Below are 25866 nucleotides of genomic sequence, written 5' to 3'. Positions count from 1 at the left end.
CTTATTGCTCATTAACATTTTTTCTTTTTGATTTAAGTACTCCCTTTAGCATTTCTTTTAGGATGAGTTTGGTGTTGATGAAATCCCTCAGCTTTTGTTTTTCTGGGAAAATCTTTATTTATCTTCATATTTGAAGGATATTTTTGCCAGATATACTATTCTGGGGTAAACGCTTTTTTTTCCTTCAACACCTTAAATATGTCATGCAACTCTCTTTTGGCCTGTGAGGTTTCCACTAAAAAGTCTGTGGCCAGACGTATTGGAGCTCCATTGTATGGTTCTTTTTTTTTTTTTCCTGCTTTTTGGATCTCTTCTTTATCCTTGACCTTTAGGAGTTTGCTTATTGAATGCCTTGAGGTAGTCATCTTTGTGTTAAATCTGCTTGGTGTTCTATAACCTTCTTGCACTTGAATATTGATATCTTTCTCTAGGGTTGGGAAGTTCTCTGTTATTATCCCTTTGAATAAGCTTTCTATGCCTATCGTTTTCTCTACCTCCTCTTTAAGGCCAATAACTCTTAGATTTGCCCTTTTGAGGCTATTTTCTAGATCCTGTAGATGTGCTTCTTTGTTTTTTTATTCTTTTCTCTTTTTTCCCTTCTGACTGTATTTGCAAATAGCCTGTCTTCAAGCTTACTAATTCATTCTTCTGCTTGATCCATTCTGGTATTAAAAGACTCTGATGAATTCTTCAGTATGCCAATTGCATCTTTTGGTTGTAGAATTTCTGCTTGATTCTTTTAAAATTATTTCAGTCACTTTGTTAAACATATATGATAGAATTTGGAATTCTTTCTTTGTGTTATCTTAAATTTCTTTGAATTTCCTCAACACAGCTATTTCGAGTTCTCTGTCTGAAAGGACACATACCTCTTTTTCTCCAGGATTGGTCTCTGGTGCCTTATTTATTTCATTTGGTGAGGTCATGTTTTCCTGAATTATCTTGTTACTTGTAGATGTTAGTCTGTGTCTGGGCATTGAAAAGTTAGGCATTTATTTTACTCTTCTCAATCTGGGCTGGTTTATGTCTGCCCCTCTTGGGAAGGTTTTTAAGATATTTGAAAGGACTTGGCCAGGCATGGTGGCTCACACTTGAAATCCCAGCACTTTGGGAGGCTGAGGTGGGAGGATCACCTGAGGTTAGGAGTTTGAGACCAGCCCGACCAACATGGAAAACCCCGTCTCTACTAAAAATACAAAAATTAGCCTGGTGTGGTGGCACGTGCCTGTAATCCTGGCTACTTGGGAGGCTGAGGCAGGAGAATTGCCTGAACCCAGAAGGCAGAGGTTGCGGTGAGCCAAGACCATGCCATTGCACTCCAGCCTGGGCAACAAGAGCAAAACTCCATCTCAAAAAAAAAAAAAAAAAAAAAAAAAAGAAAAAGAAAGAAAGAAAGAAAGAAAGGACTTGGTTGCTGTGATCTAAGCTGTATCTGCTTTAGAAGACACCCCAAGCCCAGTAACACTGTACTTCTTGCAGACTTGTAGAGGTACTGCCTTGATGGTCTTGGACAAAATTCAGGAAAATTCTCTGGATTAACAGGCAGAAACTCTTGTTCTCTTCCATTACATTCACCCAAACGAACTGAGTCTCTCTCTGTTCTGATTCCTCTGGAGCTAAGGGTGGTGTGACACAAGCACCCCTGTGGCCACCACCACTATGATTATGCTGGGTCAGACCTAAAGCCAGCACAGCACTGGGTCTCATTCAAGGCCTGCTGTAACCACTCCCTGGCTACCACCTATGTTCATTCATTGCCATGGTTCTCTACAATAAACTTGTGGCAAAGCCAGCCAAGCATGTGGCCTTCCCTTCAGGGTGGTGAGTTCCCCCAGGCCCCAGGCAGGTCAAGAGTTCCCATTTGAGAGCCAGGGACAAGAGTGAAAAACCTTAGAAGTGTACCTCGTGATCTATTGTACTGAGAGTGAGCTGGCACTCAAACCACAAGATGCAGTTCTTCCCACTCTTCTCTCTCCTTTCCAAAGGCAGATGAATCTCAATTTTTGGCCACCACCACCACAAGCCCACAGGGAGTACTGCCAGACTACCGCCATGTTACCTTAAGGCCCACAGGGCTTTTCAATCTGCTTGTGAATGCTGCCTGGCCTAGGACTCACCCTTCAGGGCACAGCATTCCCTTCTGGCCTAGGGCAGGTCCAAAATTGCTATCCAAAAGCCAAGACCTGGAATCTAGGATTCCAAGAGTCCACTTGGTGCTCTACCTCCCTGTAGCCAAGCTGATGTCTAAGGTACAAGAGAAAGTCCCCTTTACTTTTTCTTCTTTTCTTTTTTATTTTCTTCTTTTTTTTGAGACAGAGTCTCGCTCCGTCACCCAGGCTGGAGTTCAGTGGCACGATCGCGGCTCACTGCAAGCTCCTCCTCCTGGGTTCACGCCATTCTCCTGCCTCAGCCTCCCAAGTAGCTGGGACTACAGGCACCCGCCACCACGCCTGGCTAATTTTTTTGTATTTTTAGTAGAGACGGGGTTTCACCATGTTAGCCAGGATAGTCTCAATCTGCTGACCTTGTGATCTGCCCGCCTTGGCTTCCCAAAGTGCTGGGATTACAGGCATAAGCCACCGCACCCGGCCTACTTTTCCCTCTTTTCTTAAGCAGAAGTCTTGACCCATACCACCACAGTTGTGAATGTCCTGAGTCTTACCTGAAGCCAGCAAGTCTCAGAGTCTCACCCAAGGCCTTAAACATGGTACCTGGGGATTGCTGCTGGTTATTCAGGGCCCAAGGGCTCTTCAGTTAGCAAGTGATAAATCTAGACAGGCCTGGGTACTTCCCTTCAAAGCTGCAGGTTCCCTTCTAGTCCAGGGTGTATCTAGAAATGCAGTCTAGGAGCTAGGGCCTGGAAAGGGGACCTTATGACTCTGACCAGTACCCTATCTTGCTGTGGCTGAGTTGGTATCAAAGATGCAAGACAAAGTCCTTCCCACTCTTCCCTCTCCTCTCCTCAGGTGGAGGGAAGGGGTCTCTTTTGGAGCAATGAACTGTGCAGCCTGGGAATGGGGAGGGGTGATGCTAGCACGCCTTTAGCCACCCCAGCTGGTGTCTCAGTAGGTCCCATGCTGCCCAGTTCACTGGCTCTGGACCAGTTCAACACTGAGACTCACCTAAGAGTTGCAGTCCTTGTGGCCTAGACTCCCTTTGAAGTTTATTTAGAGCCCCAGAGTACTTTAGCCTGCAGTGGTGGTGGGGCTTGAGCAAACTCAAGTTTAGACCACTGGAATTGGCAATTTCCCTCTGGCTAGGGCTGGTTTAAATCTTCCCTCTGTGGGCAGGTTTCAGCTAATATTGGTCCAGTTTTGTTTTCTGCTATAACAGGGCAGCACTGAGTTCAATGTAGCACAATTGCTGTGCTCTCCCTCCCACAGTGGCGAGAAATGCTCTCTGCACCACACAGCTGCTGCCTGGCTGGGAGGTCAGTGAGGGGTGGCATCAGCAATTCAAGACTGTTTTTCCCACCTCTTCAGTGTCAATTTCAGCAATTTGAAGTTAAAGGCAGGTACTGTGAATGCTCGCCTGAATTTCAGTTCTTATGAAGGTGCTTTTTTGGTGTAGATAGTTATTAAATTGATGTCCTTTCGGGTGGGGTGATGGTGGACAATCAGTGGAGGCTTCTATCCCACCATATTCTTTAATGTGCAATTACCTAATGACATATGATGTTGAGCATCTTTTCATTTGTTTATTTTCTGTCTGCATGTATTCGTTGATGAGATGTCTGAGTCTTTTGCTCATTTTAAAATCAGGGTTTTTTTGTTATTGTTGAGGTTAAGTGTTCTTTGTATATTTTGGATAATAATCCTTTATCAGATATGTCTTTTACAAATATTTTCTCCCAGTTTTTGGCTTGTTTTTCATTCTCTCAACAGTGTCTGAAGCAGAGCAGAAGTTTTAAATTTCAATGGGTTTCAGCTTATCAATTTTTTTTTCATGGATTATGCTTTTGGTGCTAAATCAAAAATGTCATTGCCATATCCAGGGTCATTTAGGTTCTCTCCTATGTTATAATCCAGAGTTGTGTAGTTTATATTTTACATTTAACTCTATAATCCATTTTAAGTTAATTTTTATGAGAGGTATAAAGTCTTTGTCTAGATTTTTCCTTTTGCATGTGGATGTCTAGTTGTTCCAGCATCATTTGTTGAGAAGACTATCGTTGCTCCATTGTATTGCCTATGCTCCCTTGTCAAGCATCAGCTGACTATTTTTTTGTGGTCTATTTGCTGGGCTTTGTATTTTGCCCACTTGATCTATTTTTCTATTCTTTTTTTTTTTTTTTGAGACGGAGTCACTTTGTCGCCCAGGCTGGAGTGCAGTGGTGCAATCTCGGCTCACTGCAACCTCCACCTCCCGGGTTCAAGCAATTCTCTGCCTCAGCCTCCTGAGTAGCTGGGATGGGATTACAGGCGCCCGCCACCACGCCAGGCTAATTTTTTGTATTTTTAGTAGAGACGGGGTTTCACCATGTTGGCCAGGCTGATCTTGAACTCCTGACCTCGTGATTCACCCGCCTCGGCCTTCCAAAGTGCTGGGATTACAAGTGTGAGCCACTGTGCCTGGCTTATTTATCTATTCTTTCACCAGTACCACACTTACTGCATTATTGTAGCTTTATAGCAAGCAAGAATTCAGGTAGTGTCAGTCTTCTGACTTTATTCTTCTTCAATATTGTGTTGGAGAATAAAGAACACAGAAATAACACCACACACCTACAACTATCTGATCTTCAATAAATCTAACAAAAACAAGCAATGGTGAAAAGGAATCCCTATTCAATAAATGGTGCTGGGAGAACTGACTAGCCAAATGCAGAAGATTGAAACTGGAGCCCTTCCTTAAACCATATACAAAAATTCATTCAAGATCATTTGAAGAATTAAATGTAAAATCCAAAACTATAAAAATCCTAGAAGACAACCTGAGCAATGCCATTCAGGTCATAGGCATGGGCAAAGATTTCATGATGAGGATGCCAAAAGCAATTGCAACAAAAACAAAAATCAACAAATGAGATCTAATTAAACTAAAGATCTCTGAACAGCAAAAGAAACTGTCAACAGAGTAAACAGACAATGTACAGAATGGGAGAAAATTTTTGCAAACTATGTATCTGACAAAGGTGTAATATCCAGCCTCTATAAGAATCTTAAAAAAAATTTACAAGAAAAAAAACCCATTAAAAAGTGGGTAAAGGACACGAACAGAAACTTTTCTAAAGAAGATATACATGTGGCCAAAAATCATATGAAAAAAGCTCAACATCACTAATTATTAGAGAAATGCAAATAAAAACTACAACGAGGTACCATCTCACACCAGTGGGAATTACTATTTTTAAAAAGTCATAAAATAGCAGATGCTGGCAGGTTGTGGAGACAAGGGAACACCTATGCACTGTTGGTAAGTGTATAAATTAGTTCAACCATTGTGGTAAGCAGTTTGGTGATTTCTGAAAGAGTTAAAAGCCAGATCTACCATTTGACTCAGCAATCCCATTACTAGGCATATGTCCAGAGGAATATAAATAATTGTATTATAAAGACACATGCATGCTTTGTTCATTGCAGCACTATTCACAATAGCAAAGGTATGGAATCAACCTAAATGCCCATCAATGACAGACTGGATAAAGGAAATGGGGTACACATGCACCATGGAATACTATGGAACCATAAAACAGAATAAAATCATGTTCTTAGGCAACCTACAGAATGGGAGAAAATTTTTGCAATCTATCCATCGGATAAAGGTCTAATATCCAGAATCTCCAAGGAACTTATACAAATTTACAAAAAGAAAAAAAAAATCACAAAGTGGGCGAAGGATATGAACAAACACTTCTCAAAAGAAGATATTTACGAGGCCAACAAACATATGGAAGAAAGCTCATCATCACTGGTCATTAGAGAAATGCAAATCAAAACCACAATGAGATACCATCTCACTCCAGTTAGAATGGTGATCATTAAAAAGTCAGGAAACAACAGATGCTGGCGAGGCTGTGGAGAAATAGGAATGCTTTTACACTGTTAATGGGAGTGGAAATTAGTTCGACCACTGTGGAAGACAGTGTGGTGATTCCTCAAGGATCTAGAACCAGAAATACCATTTGACCCAGTAATCCCATTACTGGGTATGTACCCAAAGGATTAGAAATGATTCTACTATAAAGACACATGCACATGTATGTTTATTGCAGCACTATTTACAATAGCAAAGACTTGGAACCAACCCAAATGCCCATCAATGATAGGCTGCATAAAGAAAATGTGGCACATATACACCATGGAATACTATGCAGCCATAAAAAAGGATGAGTGCATGTCCTTTGCAGGGACATGGATGAAGCTGGAAACCATCATCCTCAACAAACTAACACAGGAACAGAAAACCAAACACGGCATGTTCTCACTCATAAGTGGGAGTTGAACAATGAGAACACAAGGACACAGGGAGGGGAACATCACACACCGGGGCCTGTTGGAGGTTGGGGGACAAGGGGAGGGAGAGCATTAAGACAAATATCTAACGCATGTGGGGTAAAACCTAGATGATGGGTTGGTAGGTGCAACAAACCACCATGGCACGTGTATACCCATGTAACAAACCTGCACATTCTGCACATGTATCCCAGAACTTAAAGTAAAATTTAAAAAATAATAATAAATAAATAAATTTAAATTAAAAAAAATCATGTTCTTTGCAGGAACATTGATGGAGCTGGTGGCCATTATCCTTAGCAAACTAATGCGGGAACAGAGAACCAAATACTGCATGTTCTCACTCATAAGTGGGAGCTGAACAATGAGAACACGTGGGCACATGGGAAGAAACAACACACACTGGGGCCTATTGTAGGTTGGACGGTGGGAGAAGGAGTGAGAGGATCAAGAAAAATGACCAATGAATACCCTCTTAATAGCTGGGTGATGAAATAACCTGTACAACAAACCCTCATAAGTTTACCTATGTAACAAACCTGCACATGTACCTCTGAACTTAAAATAAAGGTTAAAAAAAAGTGTTGGCTATTCTGGGTCTTTTGCTTCTCCATATAAACTGTAAAATCAGTTTGTCAATATGTATAAAATAAGTTGCAAGGATTTTGTTTGCGATTGCATTAAATCTATAGAAGAGATTAGGAAGAAGTGACATCTTGACAATATCAAGCCTTCCTGTTCATGCACATTGTATTAGTCTGTTCTTGAATTGCTTTAAGGAAATACCTAAGATTGGCTAATTTATAAAGAAAAGAGGTTTAATTTAGCTCACATTTCTGCAAGCTTTACAGGAAGCATGGTGCTGTCATCTGCTTTAGGTGAGGACCTCAGAAATCTTTTGATCATTGCCAAAGGCAAAGGGGCGCCATCATGTCACATGACAGGAGGTTTTTTGCCCTTCTTTTAATTTTTTACACAGGCAGCCATGTTACCTGTTATCATTACTGGTCATTAGAGAAATGCAAATCAAAACCACAAAGAGATACCATCTCACTCCAGTTAGAATGGTGATCATTAAAAAGTCAGGAAACAACAGATGCTGGCGAGGATGTAGAGAAATGGGAACGCTTTTACACTGTTGGTGGGAGTGTAAATTAGTTCAACCATTGTGGAAGACAGTGTGGTGATTCCTCAAGGATCTAGAAACAGAAATACCATTTGACCCAGCAATTTCATTATTGGGTATATACCCAAAGGATTAGGAATCATTCTACTATAAAGACTCATGAACATGTATGTTTATTGCAGCACTATACACAGTAGCAAATACTTGGTACCAACCCAAATGCCCATCAATGACAGACTGCATAAAGAAAATGTGGCACATATACACCATGGAATACTATGCAGCTATAAAAAAGGATGAGTGCATGTCCTTTGCAGGGACATGGATGAAGCTGGAAACCATCATTCTCAGCAAACTAACACAGGAACAGAAAACCAAACACGGCATGTTCTCACTCATAAGTGGGAGTTGAACAATGAGAACACATAGACACGGAGTGGGGGGACCATCACACACCAGGGCCTGTTGAGGGGTGGGGCGCTAGGGGAGGGATAGCATTAGGAGAAATACCTAATGTAGATGACAGGTTGATAGGTGCAGCAAACCACCATGACACATGTATACCTATGTAACAAAGCTGCACGTTCTGCACATGGTATTCCAGAACTTAAAGTATAAAAAAAGATACTAAAAATGAATGTTATTTATCACTATTAAAAAAATTTTCAAAAGTGTACTCTTTAGTGACATCAGCAAGATGGCATAATAGGAAGCCTTGGACCTTTCTTCTCTTCACATACACTGTAGTTCATGGGAAACTTACCTTTGTGAGAAATGCAGAAACAGTTGAGAAGCTCCTGGACCCCAGGTGAGCACAAAACTACCTATATCAAAGCCAGTAAGAAGATTTAAAACACGCTCTTTCCCACTTTTACACTGTTGGTGGAAGTGTAAATTAGTTCAACCTTTGTGGAAGACAGTCTGGTGATTCCTCAAGGATCTAGAACCAGAATTGCCATTTGACCCAGCAATCCCCTTACTGGGTATATACCCAAAGGATTATAAATCTTGCTACTATAAAGTCACATGCACATGTATGTTTATTGTGGCACTATTCACAATAGCAAAGACTTGGTTCCAACCCAAATGCCCATCAATGATAGACTGGATAAAGAAAATGTGGCACATATACACCATGGAATACTATGCAGCCATAAAAAAGGATGAGTGCATGTCTTTGCAGGGACATGGATGAAGCTGGAAACCATCATTCTCAGCAAACTAACACAGGAACAGAAAACCAAACACCGCATGTTCTCACTCTTAGGTGGGAATTGAACAATGAGATCACCTGGACACAGGGTGGGGAACATCACACACTGGGGCCTGTTGGGGGGTGGGGGGCTGGGCATTAGGAGAAATACCTATTGTAAATCATGAGTTGATGGGTGCAGCAAACCAACATGGCACATTATACCTATGTATCAAACCTGCACGTTGTGCACACGTACCCTAGAACTTACAGTATAATAATAATAATAATAAAACCCTGTTTCCATAATACCTACCTCTGTCATAGTGCTATATGATTAAGAAAAAACCTCCAGCGCTCAGCTTCTCTATGGGAAGGGAAAGAGATGCACTACACATCTAATACCCCAAATTCTCCATGTCCTACTCAGAGGACTGGCTTCTGTTTTTCTCATCTTGGAGCACTGACAGGACCTGGCATGACCTAGCTATCTGGGGCTAATGAGAACAGAGATGGCAGTTTGGGATGGTAGTCACCATCGACCCACAGTCCTTCCCCCCAGCTCAGCACAGAGCAAGCAGACGATCAAAACCCCCAGCTTTCAGCTTCTCCCTGGTGAGGGAAAGAGGTGGGCCACATGTCACATGCCTAAACTTTTCTGGAGGCTACCCAGAGGACTGCCTTCTGTCTAGCATATCTCAGAGCTCTGATGGGACCTGGCATAATCTAGATGCCTGGGGGCTGGTGAAAACAAGGATGGTGATTTGATCTAGCACACTACTAGTTGCCACATCCACCCCCACACCCCTGACTCAGTACAGAAAAAATAGGTGAAAACCCCCAGATCCCATCTTCTCTCTGAGGAGGAAAAAAGTTGAAGAGAACATTTGGTGATCCAAGTTTTGGGGAGGCTGCCTGAGAAACTGCCTTTTGACCAATTTGTCTTGACATGCTAATGAGAATTAGCATACTCTAGCTAGATGCCTGGTGGCTGTTAAGAACAAAGAACATAGATTGGATAGTATGAAGGTTGAAAAGGGCCCTCAAATCTCTGACTGGGCTTATCATTGAGGTTCTTCTCCTGCATAAGGCCAATCTGTGAAGACTGAAAGAGGTGGATATTTTGTATAATGCATAGACACCAAGGCATAGATTCAAGGAAAATGAAGAAACAGAGAAATATGTTTTAAACAAAGGAACAGGTAAATATTCAGAAAATAACTCTAATAAATTTGAGTTATAGAATTTACCTCATGGAAAATTCTTTATTCTTCATGGATAACATGATAAAGATGCTCACCAAGATCAGGAGAAAAAATGCATGAACAAAGTGAGAATTTCAAAAATATTCTCAACATATTCAACCATGAAATAGAAAATGTATATTTAAAAAGTACCAAACAAAAACCATGGAATTGAACAATGCAATATCCGAACTGAAGAACTTACTAGAGGGTTCAACAACAGACTAGATCAAATAGAAGAAAGGATTAGTGAACTCAGGGACAGCTCACTGGAAACTACTGAGTCAGAGGAGCAAAAAGAAAAAAGAATGAAAAAGAATGAAGAAAGCTTAATGGACTTGTGGGACACCATTAAGCCAACCAAAATAGGAGTCTTGGAAGGAGAAGAGAGAGCAAAACCCCCAAACAATCATGAAAAAGCACACTCAAGGAAATAGTGGACGAACACTTCCCAAATCTGGGGAAGGAAATAGACATCCGGATGCAGAAAGCCCAAAAGATTTCAGGTAAAATAAACTCAAAGATGCCCACACTAAAATACATTATAATCATCAAAGTAAAAGACAACGAGAATATTGGAAGCAACAAGAGAAAAGCCACTTGTCTTATATAACGGATTTCCCCATATCAGTGGATTTTTCAACAGAAACCTTTCTGGCCAGAAGGGGACGAAATTACATATTCAAAATGCCAAAAGAAATAACTGTCAACCGAGAATACTATACCTGGCAAAATATTCTTCAAAAATGAAGGGGAGGTAAAGAATTTCCCTGAGAAAAAAAAGCTGAAGGAGTTCAATAGTAGTCTTGCCTTACAAGAAATGAGAAAGGGAGTTCTTTCAGTTGAAATGAAAGGACACTAAAAAGTAACACGACAACTTAAGAAAGTATAAAACTCATTAGTATAGGTAAATATATAGACAGCTATAGAACAACTTACTGTTTTAATGGTGATGGGCAAAGTTACTTTTAATGGTAGTACAAAAATATAAAAGTATTAAAAGTAACTATAACTAAACATATGTTAGGATACAAAATATAAATGAATGTACATTGTGACAGTAATAACAAAGTGTGTGTGTCTCTGTGTGTGTGTGTGTGTGTGTGTGTGTAGAAAGAGTAAAAATGCAGAGTTTTGGTATGTGATTGAAATTAAGTTGTTATCAGCTTAAAATAGACTGTTATGAAATACTTTATGTAAGTCCCATGGTAACCACACAAAAAATATCTATGGGAATTATACAAAGAAGAGAAGGGAATCTAAGCATATCAGTAACAACAATGCAAGTCAATGAAACATAAAAGAAGACAGCAAGAGGCAAAAATGGGAAGAAAAGAGCTACCAAACAGGTAACAATTAACAAAATGGCAATGGTAAATCCTTTCCCATCAATTATTACTTTAAATGTAACTGAATTAAATCCCCCAATCAAAATATATAGAGTGGCTAAATGGATAAAAATCAAAAATTCAACCATATGCTGTCTCCAACAAACTCACTTTTAATTTTTTTTATTTATTCTACTTTAAGTTCTAGGGTACATGTGCACAATGTGCAGGATTTTCACATAGGTATACATGTGCCATGTTGGTTTGCTGCACCCATCAACTTGTCATTTACAATAGGTATTTCTCCTAATGCTATCCCTCCCCCAGCCCCCCACCCCCCAACAGGCCCCAGTGTGTGATGTTCCCTGCCCTTTGTCCAAGTGTTCTCATTGTTCAATTCCCACCTATGAGTAAGAATATGTGGTGTTTGGTTTTCTGCCCTTGTGATAGTTTGCTGAGAATGATGGTTTCCAGCTTCATCCATGTCCCTGCAAAGGACATGCACTCATCCTTTTTTATGACTGCATAGTATTCCATGGTGTATATGTGCCACATTTTCTTTATGCAGTCTATCATTGATGGGCAGTTGGGTTGGTTCCAAGTCTTTGCTATTGTGAATAGTGCCGCAATAAACATACGTGTGCATGTGTCTTTATAGTAGCATGATTTATAATCCTTTGGGTATATACCCAGTAATGGGATTGCTGGGTCAAATGGTATTTCTAGTTCCAGATCCTTGAGGAATCACCAGACTGTCTTCCACAATGGTTGAACTAATTTACACTCCCATTAACAGTGTAAAAGCATTCCTATTTCTCCACATCCTCTCCAGCATCTGTTTCCTGACTTTTTAGTGATCGCCATTCCAACTGGCATGAGATGGTATCTTATTGGAAACTCACTTTTAATTTAAGGATACACATAAGCTGAGAGTGAAGGAATTAAAAAAAAGATAATCTATGTCAATGACAACCGAAAGAAAGCAGAGGTTTGCTATATTTACATGAGACGAAATAGAGTTAAAGTCAAAAACAGTCACAAGAAACAAAGAAGGACATTACGTAATGTTAAAAGGGTCAATTCTCCAGGAAGTTATGAAAATTACATAACAATTATACATATATATGCACCCAGTATCAGAGCACCTAAATATATAAGGCAAACATTGGCAGAACTGAAGGGAGAAATAGACAGCAATACAATAATAATAAGAGACTTCAATACCCCACTTTCAATAATGGATAGAACATTCAGACAGAAAATCAATAAGGAAACAGCAGACTTGAACAACACTGTAGGTGAAACAAACCTAACAAACATATGCAGAACATTTCACCCAACATCAGGAGAAGATACATTCTTCTCAAGCACACATGGAACATTCTTTAGGATGGATCACATGATAGATCACAAAACAGGACCCAATAAACTTAAGATTGAAACCATACCAAATATTTTTTCTGACCAAAACACAATGAAACTAGAAATTAATAACAAAAGGAAAACTAAAATTCACAAGTATGTGGAAATTAAACAACACACCTTTGAACACCAACGAGTCAAGGAAGAATTCAATAAGGAAATTAGGGAGTAAGACAAATAAATGTGAAAATGCAACATTCCAAAACCATGTGATGCAGGAAAAGCAGTCCTAAGAGGGAAGTTTGTAGTGACAAATGCCTGTTTTTAACATTTTTTTAAACAGGGTCTCACTCTGTCACTCTGCATGTTGGAATGGAGTGGTGTGATTGTAGCTCACTGCAGCCTTTAACTACTGTGTTCAAGCAATCCTCCTGCCTCAGCCTTCCAAGTAGCTGGAACTACAGGTGCTTAACACTCATTTTTAAAAACAAGGAAGATCTCAAATGAATAATCGAACTATACACCTTAAGAAATAGAAAAAGATGAACAACTAAGCCCAAAGTTGGCAGAAAGAAGAAAATGAAGAAAATGATAATCATTTGAGAAGAAAAAAATAGAACATATAAAAACTAGAAAAAAATAAAACTAAGAATTGGTTTTTTGAAACAATAAAATTTGATAAACATTTAGCTAGACTAAGTAAGGAGCACACTAAGTTCTCAAGCACACATGGAACATTCTCTAGGATGGATCACATGATAGGTCACTAAACACGACTTAATAAACTTAAGATTGAAATTATACCAAATTTTTTTTGGTATGGAGGTAAGGAAAAAAGAGAAAATACTCAAACCAATAGATTCATAAATGAAAGAGGAGATATTGTAACTAATGCTACAGAAATAAAAAGGATCATGGGATGCTACTATGGACAATTATATGTCAACAAACTAGGGGAAATGGATAACCTAGAAGAAATGGATAATTTCCTAAAAACATACAATTTATCAAGATTGAATCCTGAAGAAATAGAACGTCTGAACAGACCTATAACTAGTAAGGAGATTGAATCAGTAATAAAAAACCTCTCAACAAAGAAAAGCCCAGAACCAGGTGGCTTCACTGATAAATTCTGCCAAACATTTAAGGAAGAATTAATGCCAATTCTTCTCAAACTCTTCAAAAAATTAAAGAGAGAACACTTCCAAACTCATTTTATGAGGCCAACATTACCCTAATACCAAAGTCAGACAAAGACACCATAAGAAAAGAAAACTACTAGCAAATATTACTGAAGAGTGTAGACCCAAAAATCGTTGACAACATACTAGCAAGCTGAATTCAACAGCATATTAAAAGAATCATACACCATTACCTAATGGGATTTATCACTGGGATGCAGGGATGGTTCAACATACACAAACCAATGACTGTAATACACTACATTAACATAATGAATATAATCACATGGTTATCTCAATAGATGCAGAAAAAGTATTTGACAAAATTTAACACCTTTTTATGATAAAAACTCTTAACAAACTATGAATAGAAAGAAGTTACCTGAACATAATAGAGGCCATATACGAAAATCTACAACTAATAACAAATTCAACAGTGAAAAACTGAAAGCTTTTCTTCTAAGATCAGGAACATGTCAAGTGGATGAATACTCTTGCCAGTTTTATTTAACATAGTACTGGAAGTCGTAGCCAGTGCAATTGGGCAAGAAAAAGAAATAAAATACATCTAAATCAGAAAGTAAGAAGTAAAACTGTCCCTGTTTGCAGATTACAGGTTATTACATGTAGAAAACCCTACACATTCCACACTCCAGAATACTGTTATAACTAATAAACTAATTCAGCAAAGTTACAGGTTACAAAATTAACATAAAAAACACAGTTGAATTTGCATGCACTAACAATGAACTATCTAAAAAGATACACCATGGAATACTATGCACCCATAAAAAGGAACAAGATTAGGTCCTTTGCAGGGACATGGATGGAGCTGGAAGCCATTATCCTCAGCAAACTACACAGGAACAGAAAACCAAATACTGCGTGTTCTCACTTATAAGTGGGAGCTGAACAGTAAGAACACTTGGACAGATGGAGGGGAACAAAATACACTGGGGCCTGTTGGAGGGGTAGCGGGAGGGAGAGCATCAAGAATAGCTAATGGATACTGGGCTTAATACCTAGGTGATAAGTTGATCTGTGAAGCAATCCACCATGGCACACCTTTACTTATGTAACAAACCTGCACATCCTGCACATGTACCCTGGAACTTAAAATAAAAGTTGAAGAAAAAAACACACAAGGAACTATCTAAAAAGGAAGTTAGGAAAACAATCTTATTAAAATTTAATACTGTTAAAATGTCATACTACCCAAGCTGATCCACAGATTCAATATAATTCCTATCAGAATTCTCATGGCAGTCTTTTTATAGAAACAGAAAAAATAATATTAAAATTCATATGGAGCCATAAAAGATCCAAATAACCAAAATAATCTTCAAAAAGGAGAACAAAGTTGCAGCCATCACATTTTCTGATTTCAAAATATGTTACAAAGCTTCAGTAAATGAAATAATTTGATACTGGCATAAAGACAGACATACAGATTAACGGGACAGGAAAGAGAGCCAAGAAATAAATCTACCTGTATAAAGTCAACAGATCTTCAACAAGCATTCCAGGAATGCACAATGGGAAAAAGATTCAACAAATGGTGCTGGGAAGAGTGGATATGCACATAAAAAAGAATGAAATTGGACCCTTGTTTTACACCATACACAAAAATCAACTCAAAATGGATTGAAGACTTAAACATAATACCAGAAACTGTAAAACTCCTAGAAGAAAACATAGGGAAAAGACTTCTTGATACTGGTCTTGGCAATGATTTCATGGGTACTACACCAAAAACATATGCAACAAAAGCAAAAATAGACAAGTGAGCCCAGGTCAAAGTAAAAAGCTTCTGCACGGCAGAGGAAAAAAACTTGATAGAGTGAAAAAGGAAAACTAGAAATGGGAGAAATAATTTGCAAACCACATATTTGATAAGGGATTAATTTCCAAAATATATAAGGAACTTCTATAACGCAATAACAAAAAACACACCCCAAAACTAATAAGCCAAGATGTAGAATCTACCTAAGTGACTATCGATGAATTTATGGATAAAGAAAATGTGGTACATATGCACAATGGAATATTATTAAGCAAAAAAGAATGAAATCTTGTCATTTGCAACAGCATGGTTGGAACTGGAGGACCTTATGTTACGTGAAATAAACCAGGCACAGAAAGATAATTATTATATGTTCTCATTCATATGTGGGAGATAAAAAAATGAACTCATGGAGATAGAGAATATATTGATGGTTATCAGAGGCTGAAAAGAATAGTGGGGGTGGCGTAGGGGTATGGGGGAAAGAGGAGATGGTGGATGGGTACAAAAATACAGTTAGAAGGAATAAGACCTAGTGTTTGGTAGCACAATAGGGTGACAAGGTTAAAAATAATTTATTGTAGATTTCAAAATAATCAAAGGAGTGGAATTGGCAGGTTCCTAACACAAATAAATGATAAATGCTTGGGGTGTGATGGATATCCCAGTTACCCTGGTTTGATCATCACACATTATATGCTTGTATCAAAATAACACATGAACCCTAAATATGTACAAGTATTATGTATCCATAATAATTTAAAAAGCTTTTAATGGGCTAAATACTTGAATATAAATTTCCCCAAAGAAGACAAACAAATGGTCAACAGGTATATGAAAATGTGCTCAATGCCACTAATCATCAGGGAAATGCAACTAAAAATCACAATGAACTATCACCTCACATCTGTTAGGATGGCTATTATAAAAACAGAAAAACTGAAACAAACAAACAAACAAAAAAAACAAAAAGAAAAGTGTTGGCAAAGATCGAGAAATTGGAAGCTTTGTGCAGTATGGAGGTGCCTAAAAAAAATTGTACTGTATAATCTAGCAATCCTACCTCTGGGTATTTTTCCAGAAGAATTGAAATTAGGATCTTGAAGAGATATTAGCACTTCAATGTTTACTGCAGCATTACTCACAATGTCCAAGATGTGGAAACAATCTTATGTCCATTGACATGAATGGATAAAGAAAATGTGCTATATACATACAATAGAATATTATTCAGCCTTATAAAAAGAAGAAAATTCTGCCTTATGTGACAAAATGGAGAAAGCTTTGAAAACATGCCAAGTGAAATAAGCCAGTTACAGGAGGAAAAAACTGCATAATTCCACTTATATGATGTATCAAAAATAGTCAAATGGACATAAAGTTTCAATTATGCAAGATGAGTAAGTTCTAGAGATCTGTACAACATTGTCCCCATAGTTAACAAACTGTATTGTACAACTAAAACTTGTTAAGAGGGTAGATCTCTTGGCAAGTACTCTTACCACAATACATTAAAATTTTTAAAAAAGAAAAAAAATTAGAGAAGTGTAGGTCCATGAGTTCTTATCCACAATTCCAAAATATATAGAGCTCTATAAAGGAAAACTCCTTTATAACTAATTTTATTGTAAATCCTGACCTGAACCAACACAATGCTATTTAGAGTCTTTGTTTATGCCACTTAATGTGAATATTCACAATTTATGCTGATGAAACATTATGGTGCTATATAGTAAATATTATGCATACTTTATTATGTTTCTGAAATTAAAACGAATCCAAATTCTAACCCATTTGCCACAAGAATTTCACTCAATTCTGGATAACATTATTGTAGTTCAAGTTTCATGCCTTATGTTAAGAAAAATATCCCATTACCTTTTTGTTCCCAACATCACACTTTTTATTGTCTGTAACGGGTCATGATTGTGAATCTGGACATTATGAAATGACTTAAAAGTTGAGGAAGTCTGATTCATCAGGCTGTACCGCTTAAGGTACATTTTTTTTCATTTCCTTTTTTCTTTTAAAGGAAATTAAACGTAGTGGTTCAGAGCATGGGCTTTAGAGACAGACTGACAAGTTTATATGCCTATATTTTACTAGCTGTATGACTTTGAGCAAATCACTTTAGCTTTCTAAATCTCTGCTATCGTTTCTGTGAAATAGAGATTAAAGAAAAATTTTGTGCTTTGTAGGGTTGATATAAAAGCAAAAAAATATTGCATGGAGATTACTTAGACTAGTGCCTGGTACATATACACATTTAATAAATATTAGTTGTCATCATGATAAGTAAGTCTGATTTAGAATCAAAATGGGGAAGGAGGACTAAGAAAAAGATTATTTTAATGCATCTTGGATAAATAAAATCATAATGTTGTATAACTGCTAAAACTATTTTCTAAAATAAATATTTCTGATTGCATTCCAAAACAAAAATCTGACCTCTCTTCCACGTTTTAACCTGTGGTAATCATGCTTAAGGTATAATTATGTCTTAAATTATCTCATTTTAGGAAGCTGTATGAGGCTGTTCTTGCATTGCTAGAAAGAAATACTGGAGACTGGGTAATGCATAAAGAAAAGACACTTTATTGGCTCATGGTTCTGCAGACTGTACAGGAAGCACGGTGAGGCATCTGCTCAGCTTCTGGGGATGCCTGAGGGAGCTTTTACTCATGGCAGAATCCGAAGGGGGAAAAATAAGGTCACTTGGTGAAAGCAGGAGTAAGAGAGAGAGAGGGTTGGGGGTGGTGTCACATTTTACGACAACCAGATCTTGTAAGAATTCACTGACTATTGTGAGAACAACGGCAGACCATGAGGAAGGGATCAGCCTCCATGACCCAAATACCTCCTACCAGACCCCACCTCCAACATTGGGGATTACATTTCAACATGAGATTTGGGCAGAGACAAATATCCAAAGTATATTAGAAGCGTAAAGAGATGATACTGTGTGAGAAGATATCCCATTGTGGTTTTGATTTACATTTCCCTGATGATTAGTGATGTTGAACATTTTTCAAAAATACCTATTGTCTTTTTTGGAGAAATGTCTATTCTGGTCCTTTGCCCATCTTTTAATAAGTTATGATTTTTTCCTATTATGTGAGTTTCTTGGTTAATTTTGGAAATTAACTCCCTATCAGATATATGATTTGCAAGTATTTTCTCCCAATCCATAGGCTTTTTATTGCTTGCTTCCTTTGCAGAAGCTTTTTAGTTTGATGTAGTCCCATTTGTTTGTTTTTGCTTTAGTTGTTGAGCTTTTGGTGTCATAAAAAAAAAACTTTGCTAAGGCCAATGTCAAAGAGCTTGTTCTTATGTTTTATTTTATAAGTTTTATGGTTTCAAGTCTTACGCTTAGGTCTTTAGTGTGGTTTGCTGTGGTGGATAGTGCAGCGATGAACATGTGAGTACATGTGCTTTTTTGAATTGATTCCATTTTGCATTGATTTTTGTGTATGACATAAGATAGGGTCCAGTTTCATTCTTTTATGTGGATACCCAGTTTTCTTAACACCTTTATTGAAGAGACTGTCCTTTCCCCATTGTGTAGTCTTGGTACCCTTGTGGAAGATCCCTTGACTATATATGTGTGTGGATTGATTTCTGGGCTTTCTTTTCTATTATGTCGGTCTACATGTCTGTCTTTATGCCAGTACCATACTGTCTTGTTTAGGTTGACTGTTATCCAAAAGACAAGACATAATGAGTGTTGGCAAGGGTGTGGAAAAAGGGAACCCTCGCACACTGTTGGTAGGAGGGTAAATTGGTACAGCCATTATAAAAAACAGTATGGAAGTTCTCAAAAAGATTAAAAATGGAACTATTATGTGACCCAGCAATTCCTTTGCTAGGTATATACTAAAGAAAATGAAATCAGCACCTTGTAGAGATATCTGCACTCTCATGCCTATTGTAGCATTATTCACAATAACTAAGATACGGAAACAACCTAAGTTTCCATCAGTGGATGAATGGAAAAGGAAGGAGATACTGTCACCCTACATGACTTCAAACTATAGTAAGGCCACAGTAACCAAAATAGCATGGTACTGGTATAAAAACAGACACATAGACCAATGGAACAGAATAGAAAACTCAGAAATAAAGCCGCACACCTGCAATCATTGGATCTTTGATAAGGCCAACAAAACAAGCGATAGAGGATGGACTCCCTATTCAATAAATGGTGTCGAGATAACTGGCTACCCATTCATTCATGCGGAAGAATGAAACTGGACCCTTAACTTTCACCTTATACAAAAAGTGACTCAAGATGAATTAAATATTTAAATATGAGACCTCAAACTATAGAAATCCTAAAAGAAAACCTAGAAAATACCCATCTTAATATCAGTTTTGGCGAAGAATTTTTGGCTAGGTCCCCAAAAGCAATTGTAACAGAAACATAAGTTAACAAGTGGGATCTAATTAAACTAAAGAGCTTCTGTGCGGCAAAAGAAACCATCAACAGAGTAAATAGACGACTTACAGAATGGGAGAAGATATTCACAAACTATGCATCTGACAAAGGTCTGATATACAGAATCTATAAGGACTTAAATAAATCAACAAGCAAAAAACAAACAACCCCATTAAAAATGGACAAAGGATATGAAGAGACATTTTTCAAAAGAAGACATACAAGTGGCCAAGAAATGTGAGAACATTTTTATGATCATTAATCATCAGAGAAATGCAAATCAAAACTACAATGAGATACCATATTACACCAGTCAGAATGGCTATTACTAAAACGTCAAAAACAACAGATGCTGGCAAGACAGTGGAGAAAAGGGAATGCTTATACACTGTTGGAGGGAATGTAAATTAGTTCAGCCACTGAGGTAATCAGTTTAGAGATTTCTTAAAGGATTGAAAACAGAACTATCATTTGATGCGGCAATCCCATTTCTAGGTATATACCCAAAGGAAAGTACACTGTTCTAGCAAAAAGACACATGCACTTATATGTTAGTTGCTGCACTATTCAAAATAACAAAGACATGGAATCAGCCTAGATGCTTATCAATGGTGGACTGGATAAAGAGAATGTGGTACATATTCACTATGGAATAATATGCAGCCATAAAAAGAATGAAATCATGTTCTTTGTAGCAACATAGGTGGAGCTGGAGGCCATAATCCTAAGTGAATTAAGGCAGGAACAGAAAACCAAATACCACATGTTCTTACCTGTAAGTGGGAGCTAAACATTGAGCTCACATGGACATAAACATGGGAACAACAGACACTTCAGACTACTACAGGGGGCAGGGAGGGAAGGGAGAATGGGTTGAAAAATTAGCTATTGGGTACTACGCTCACTACCTGGGTCTGATATACCCATGTAACAATCCTACACATGTACGCACTTGTATCTAAAATAAAAGCTGAAATTAAAAAAAAAAAACAAAAGGAAGGAGAGGCTATCATTTGCAACAATATGGATGAAACTGAAAGACATTAAACTAAGTAAAATAAGCCAGACACACAAATAAAAATACTACATGATCTCACTTGTATGTAAAATATTTTTAAAAAGTCAAATACATTGAAACAGAGACTAGGACTGTGGTTACCAGGGGCTGGAAGGGTGAGGAAATGGGAAGATGTAGTTCAAAGGGTACAAACTTGAAGTTATGTAGGATATATAAATCTAGAGATCTAATGTACAGCCGGAGGACTATAGTTAATAATATTGTATTATTTATTAAAAATTTGCTAAGAGAGTAGATTTTAGGTGCTCTTACCACAAACACAAAAAAAGAGGTAACTAAGGAAGGTGATGGATATGTTAACTCAATTACTTGTAGTAATCATTTCATTACGTGTATGTATATATCAAAACATCATGTTGTACACCTTAAATGTATACAATAAAAATAAATTTTAAAAAGAAGTGAAACTATAAGTGGCCTATACTGTTGAGTAGGATTGCAGGTTGTAGAGAATTCAAAACACTCTGTAACGGTTTCCAGTTCACAAACTTCAAAGGCCAAAAACATCCTCAAACCTCTGGCTGTGTTTAAATTATAGTGAAAGTAGCAGGTTATTGTCACAAACTTGTTACAACTCTCAGTGAGAAAAATCATATGAAAATTAAAAGAAACAAATCATTTACTGATTAATTTATTCATAGATTTATTGACCTTAGAAAGACCATATAGAATTAGATAATTGAGTACAACTTTACAGTTGGGGGAACAAGATCCAAAGGTGATAATTCATTTGCCTAATATGACAAAGGTAATAAATAACAGAAGCAGGCCTAGAATTAGTTTTCTAAGCTAGTTTTCTACCTCTTCTATAGCGAAACTCAACATGTATTATTTCACAAAAATATATAATATATAGATTTGCACACATGAGCAGATAGATGATGTGGCATTACAAAAAGAAAACGTGTTTTTATCTGAAAAAAAGTGTGTTCTTGTTCTTTGTCCCTTTTCCATAAACTCTTGCTCTTGTTTTATGGATTCAATAATTTCTTAACTCTCGGAAGATATTAATTATAGCTTTTAAAAAGACTCTTTTTGAAAAATTATCTTTCTTTCTCTCTCTGCCCCCACCAATATACACACACATTTGTATATTGAGAGAGAGTGAGAGATAATTCAGTAGGATGGTAGAATATAAAGTTAATGTACAAGAATCAATATTTTTTACCACGTATAAACAATCTATTAGATGGTACAATGAAAGAGAAGACCTTATTTGCAATAGCCACAAAAAAAAGATAAAACATTTAGGAAGAAATGTGCAAAAAATCTGAGGAAAACACTACTGAAAGACAAAAGTATACTTGAACAGATGGAAAGATGTACTCTATTCTTGAGTAGGGAAGACTCACGTTATAAAGATGTTAGTTTTCTCTAAATTAATTTATAAATTTAATGCACTTCCAATAAACTACCATCTTTTCTTTTCTGAAAGGAAATTCTAAAGCTCATATGGAAAATAAGCAAGCAAAAATAGCCAGGAATCTTTGCAATTGAAAAATCATATATTAAAAATGAAAAATAATATATTAAAATGTAAAGCCTCAAAAGTTAAGAGTATGGTACTGGTGAATGAAGAGACGGGGGAACAGGACAGAAAGTCCTGAAATAGACGTAAATAGATATGGGAATTTAGTATAGGGCATTTCAAATCAATGTGGTAAAAAGGAATTTTTGATAAATGATACTGGAGGCGGGGCACGGTGGCTCACGCCTGTAATCCCAGCACTTTGGTAGGCCAAGGCGGGTGGATCACCTGAGGTCAGGAGATAGAGACCAGCCTGACCAATATGGAGAAACTCCGTCTCTACTAAAAATTCCAAAATTAGCCGGGCGTGGTCGCGTGCACCTGTAGTCCCAGCTACTCAGGAGGCTAAGGCAGGAGAATCGCTTGAACCCAGGAGGCGGAGGTTGTAGTGAGCCAAGATCGTGCCATTGCACTCCAGCCTGGGCAACAAGAGTGAAACTCCGTCTCAAAAAAAAAAAAAATTGGTACTGGAAAAAGATAAAGTTGGATCCACATCTCATGCCATATACCAGGCTAAACTCTAAGTAGATTGATGTTGTAAATTTAAAGAGAAATTAAGCCACAAAAGAACTGGAAGAAAACATAGGTCAATTCCTCTACAGTCTTAGAGTGGGAGAAGGCCTTTTTAACTATGATTCAAAATCCAGAAGCCATTAAGGAAAAAGATTAGGGCATTTGACTACATTTTAAAAAAGTCTTTGTGACAAAAAGCAACATAAGCAATGCAAAAAAAGAAAGACAAACTGATAAAATATTTGCAATTTGTGTCACAAAGAGCTGCTCTCTCATAGAAAATGTCAAGAAAAAGGCCAACAACCCAATAGAAAAATCGACATGGGACATTAACAATTTAAAGAAAGGGAAAGATCTCTTAAAAATATGAAAAGATGCCCAACCTCATTCACAATAAGAAACACTCAAATTAAAACTTCTGTGAAATACCAATTCTTATGTACCACCTTGGAAAAAATCCAAAATTTATACTCTACTTATAAGGCCTTGGGGAAAAAGTGTACAACTACTATGAAGTGGAATCTGGGAATATATACCATAATTACAGATCTATTTTCCCTTTGACGTAACAGTTCAATTTTGAGGAATCTATCCAGAGATATCCTATGGATAGATATGTACAAAATTACATATGTACCATGACATGCATACATAGTGTGCCCTGTCAGGCAAAAAACAAACAAAAATCAAACAAAAACCTAAAAGCAAAAAAGCCAAAATTAAAACAACAACAAAAATGAAGACTATTACGTACGATATGGAGACATCACCAGGATAGCTTTTTAGTGAAAAAAATTTTTAAGATGAAAACCAATATATAGTATACTATCTTTTGTAATATAAAGGAAAATAAATATATATTCATATTTTCCTGTATTTACATAAATAAATATTAAAATGGCAAAAATAAACTCATAAAATGATTACCTGTAGGGGAGTGGGGGGTGGAAAGAAGGTGGATGAGGAAGAAGGGATAGGAATGAGACCAATCTTGTGTCCCTATTTATATTTATTTGACCTTGAACCATATAAATATATTATTGATTGAAAAAATAATGATAAAGATAAAAAGTCTTTTACTTGCATTATCTCTATTTCTCCCTGTTTCCTTTTATTGTTTCCTTCTTTAATCTTTTGGTATGCTGATGTTATTATTGAGTGATTCCGAAATGCCAAAATCTGAAGGCTGTATTCTATAGGCCATTCCATTTCTCAAGAGGAAAATTAATCTTCTTGGGAGCAGATGTTTGGTGTCTTGCATTCTGGGAGCAGGGGAGAGGGGACAGGAGTTGAGGGGTTCCACATTTAGTGTGTAGACTTTCACTTTATCCACCTGTTTCCAACTCCACATCTATTCCTGCCTTACCCTAGGTCTGTTTTGGTTCAGTTTCTCCACAGAGTAAACCTTTGTTTGTGGGTGAATTGCCTGGAATCTCTGGTGGTCATTCAACCACTTTATATATGGACTTTCAACAACTTATCACCCTATATTAGCCCCATGTCTCACCCTAGTTTTCTGAGGACTCTGGTATCTGTATGTCCTGGTCCTGTGAGTTCTCCAGTGTAAATCAACTTTCTTCTTTTTTTCTCCTTCTTCTCCTCCTCTCCCTCCCTCACTCTCCCTCTTCTTCTCTTTCTCCTTCTTATTTATTCATCACTGTGGCAAAATATATGTAACATAACAATTTTAACCATTTTAGGTGTATAGTTCAGAATCATTTTATACACTCACTCTGTTGTGCGATCATCACCGCAATCCATCTCCAGAAATTGTTCATCTTCACAAGATAAAACTGTACCCATTAAACAGTAACTCCCCATTCTCGCCTTCCCTCAGTCCCTGACAACTGCATTTCATTTAGCATAATGTCTTCAAGGTTCATTCATGTTGTAGCATGTGTCAGACTTTCTGTCTTTTTAAAGGCTGAATACCATTTCCCTGTATGTGTACAGCACATTTTTTAGTCCATTCATTTATCAGTGAACATTTGGATTGTTTCCGCTTTTTGAGTATTGTGAATAATACTGCCATGAACATGAACATGAACATGGGTGTACGAATATCTGTTTGAGATGCTGCTTCCCTTTCTTCCATCAATTAAAATAAAAACTATTTACTAAAAAAGATATTTGAATTGAGACAACAAATAGAAGGCCATTACTATGATTACCTCCATAATACCCTCCACAACACACACACACAAACGCACACACAAATGTGTGTGCACACACATATGCTTTCACTGAAAGGGAAATGGATTATGCTTCCCTGGTGTTGGAGGTGGTCAATGTTGAGGCTTTTGAAGTACTCTGGCCTCCAGCCTGGATTACTATAGAAAGTGGGATAGGGCCAAGCCTTCAGGTAACAATTGGTAAAAATAGGCCGGGCGCGGTGGCTCACGCCTGTAATCCCAGCACTCTGAGAGGCTGAAGTGGGCAGATCACCTGAGGTCAAGAGTTCGAGACCAGCCTGATCAACATGGAGAAACCCCGTGTCTACTAAAAATACAAAATTATCCGGGTGTGGTGGCGCATGCCTATAATCCCAGCTACTCGGGAAGGCTGAGGCAGGAGAATTGCTTGAACCTGGGAGGCAGAGGTTGCAGTGAGCCAAGATCGCGCCATTGCACTCCAGCCTGGG

The sequence above is a fragment of the Homo sapiens genome, chromosome X (genome assembly GCF_000001405.40).
Source record: "Homo sapiens chromosome X, GRCh38.p14 Primary Assembly".
Classification (NCBI taxonomy): domain Eukaryota; kingdom Metazoa; phylum Chordata; class Mammalia; order Primates; family Hominidae; genus Homo; species Homo sapiens.
The sequence above is the reverse complement of the archived record's forward strand: the minus strand, read 5'-3'. Positions refer to the sequence as shown.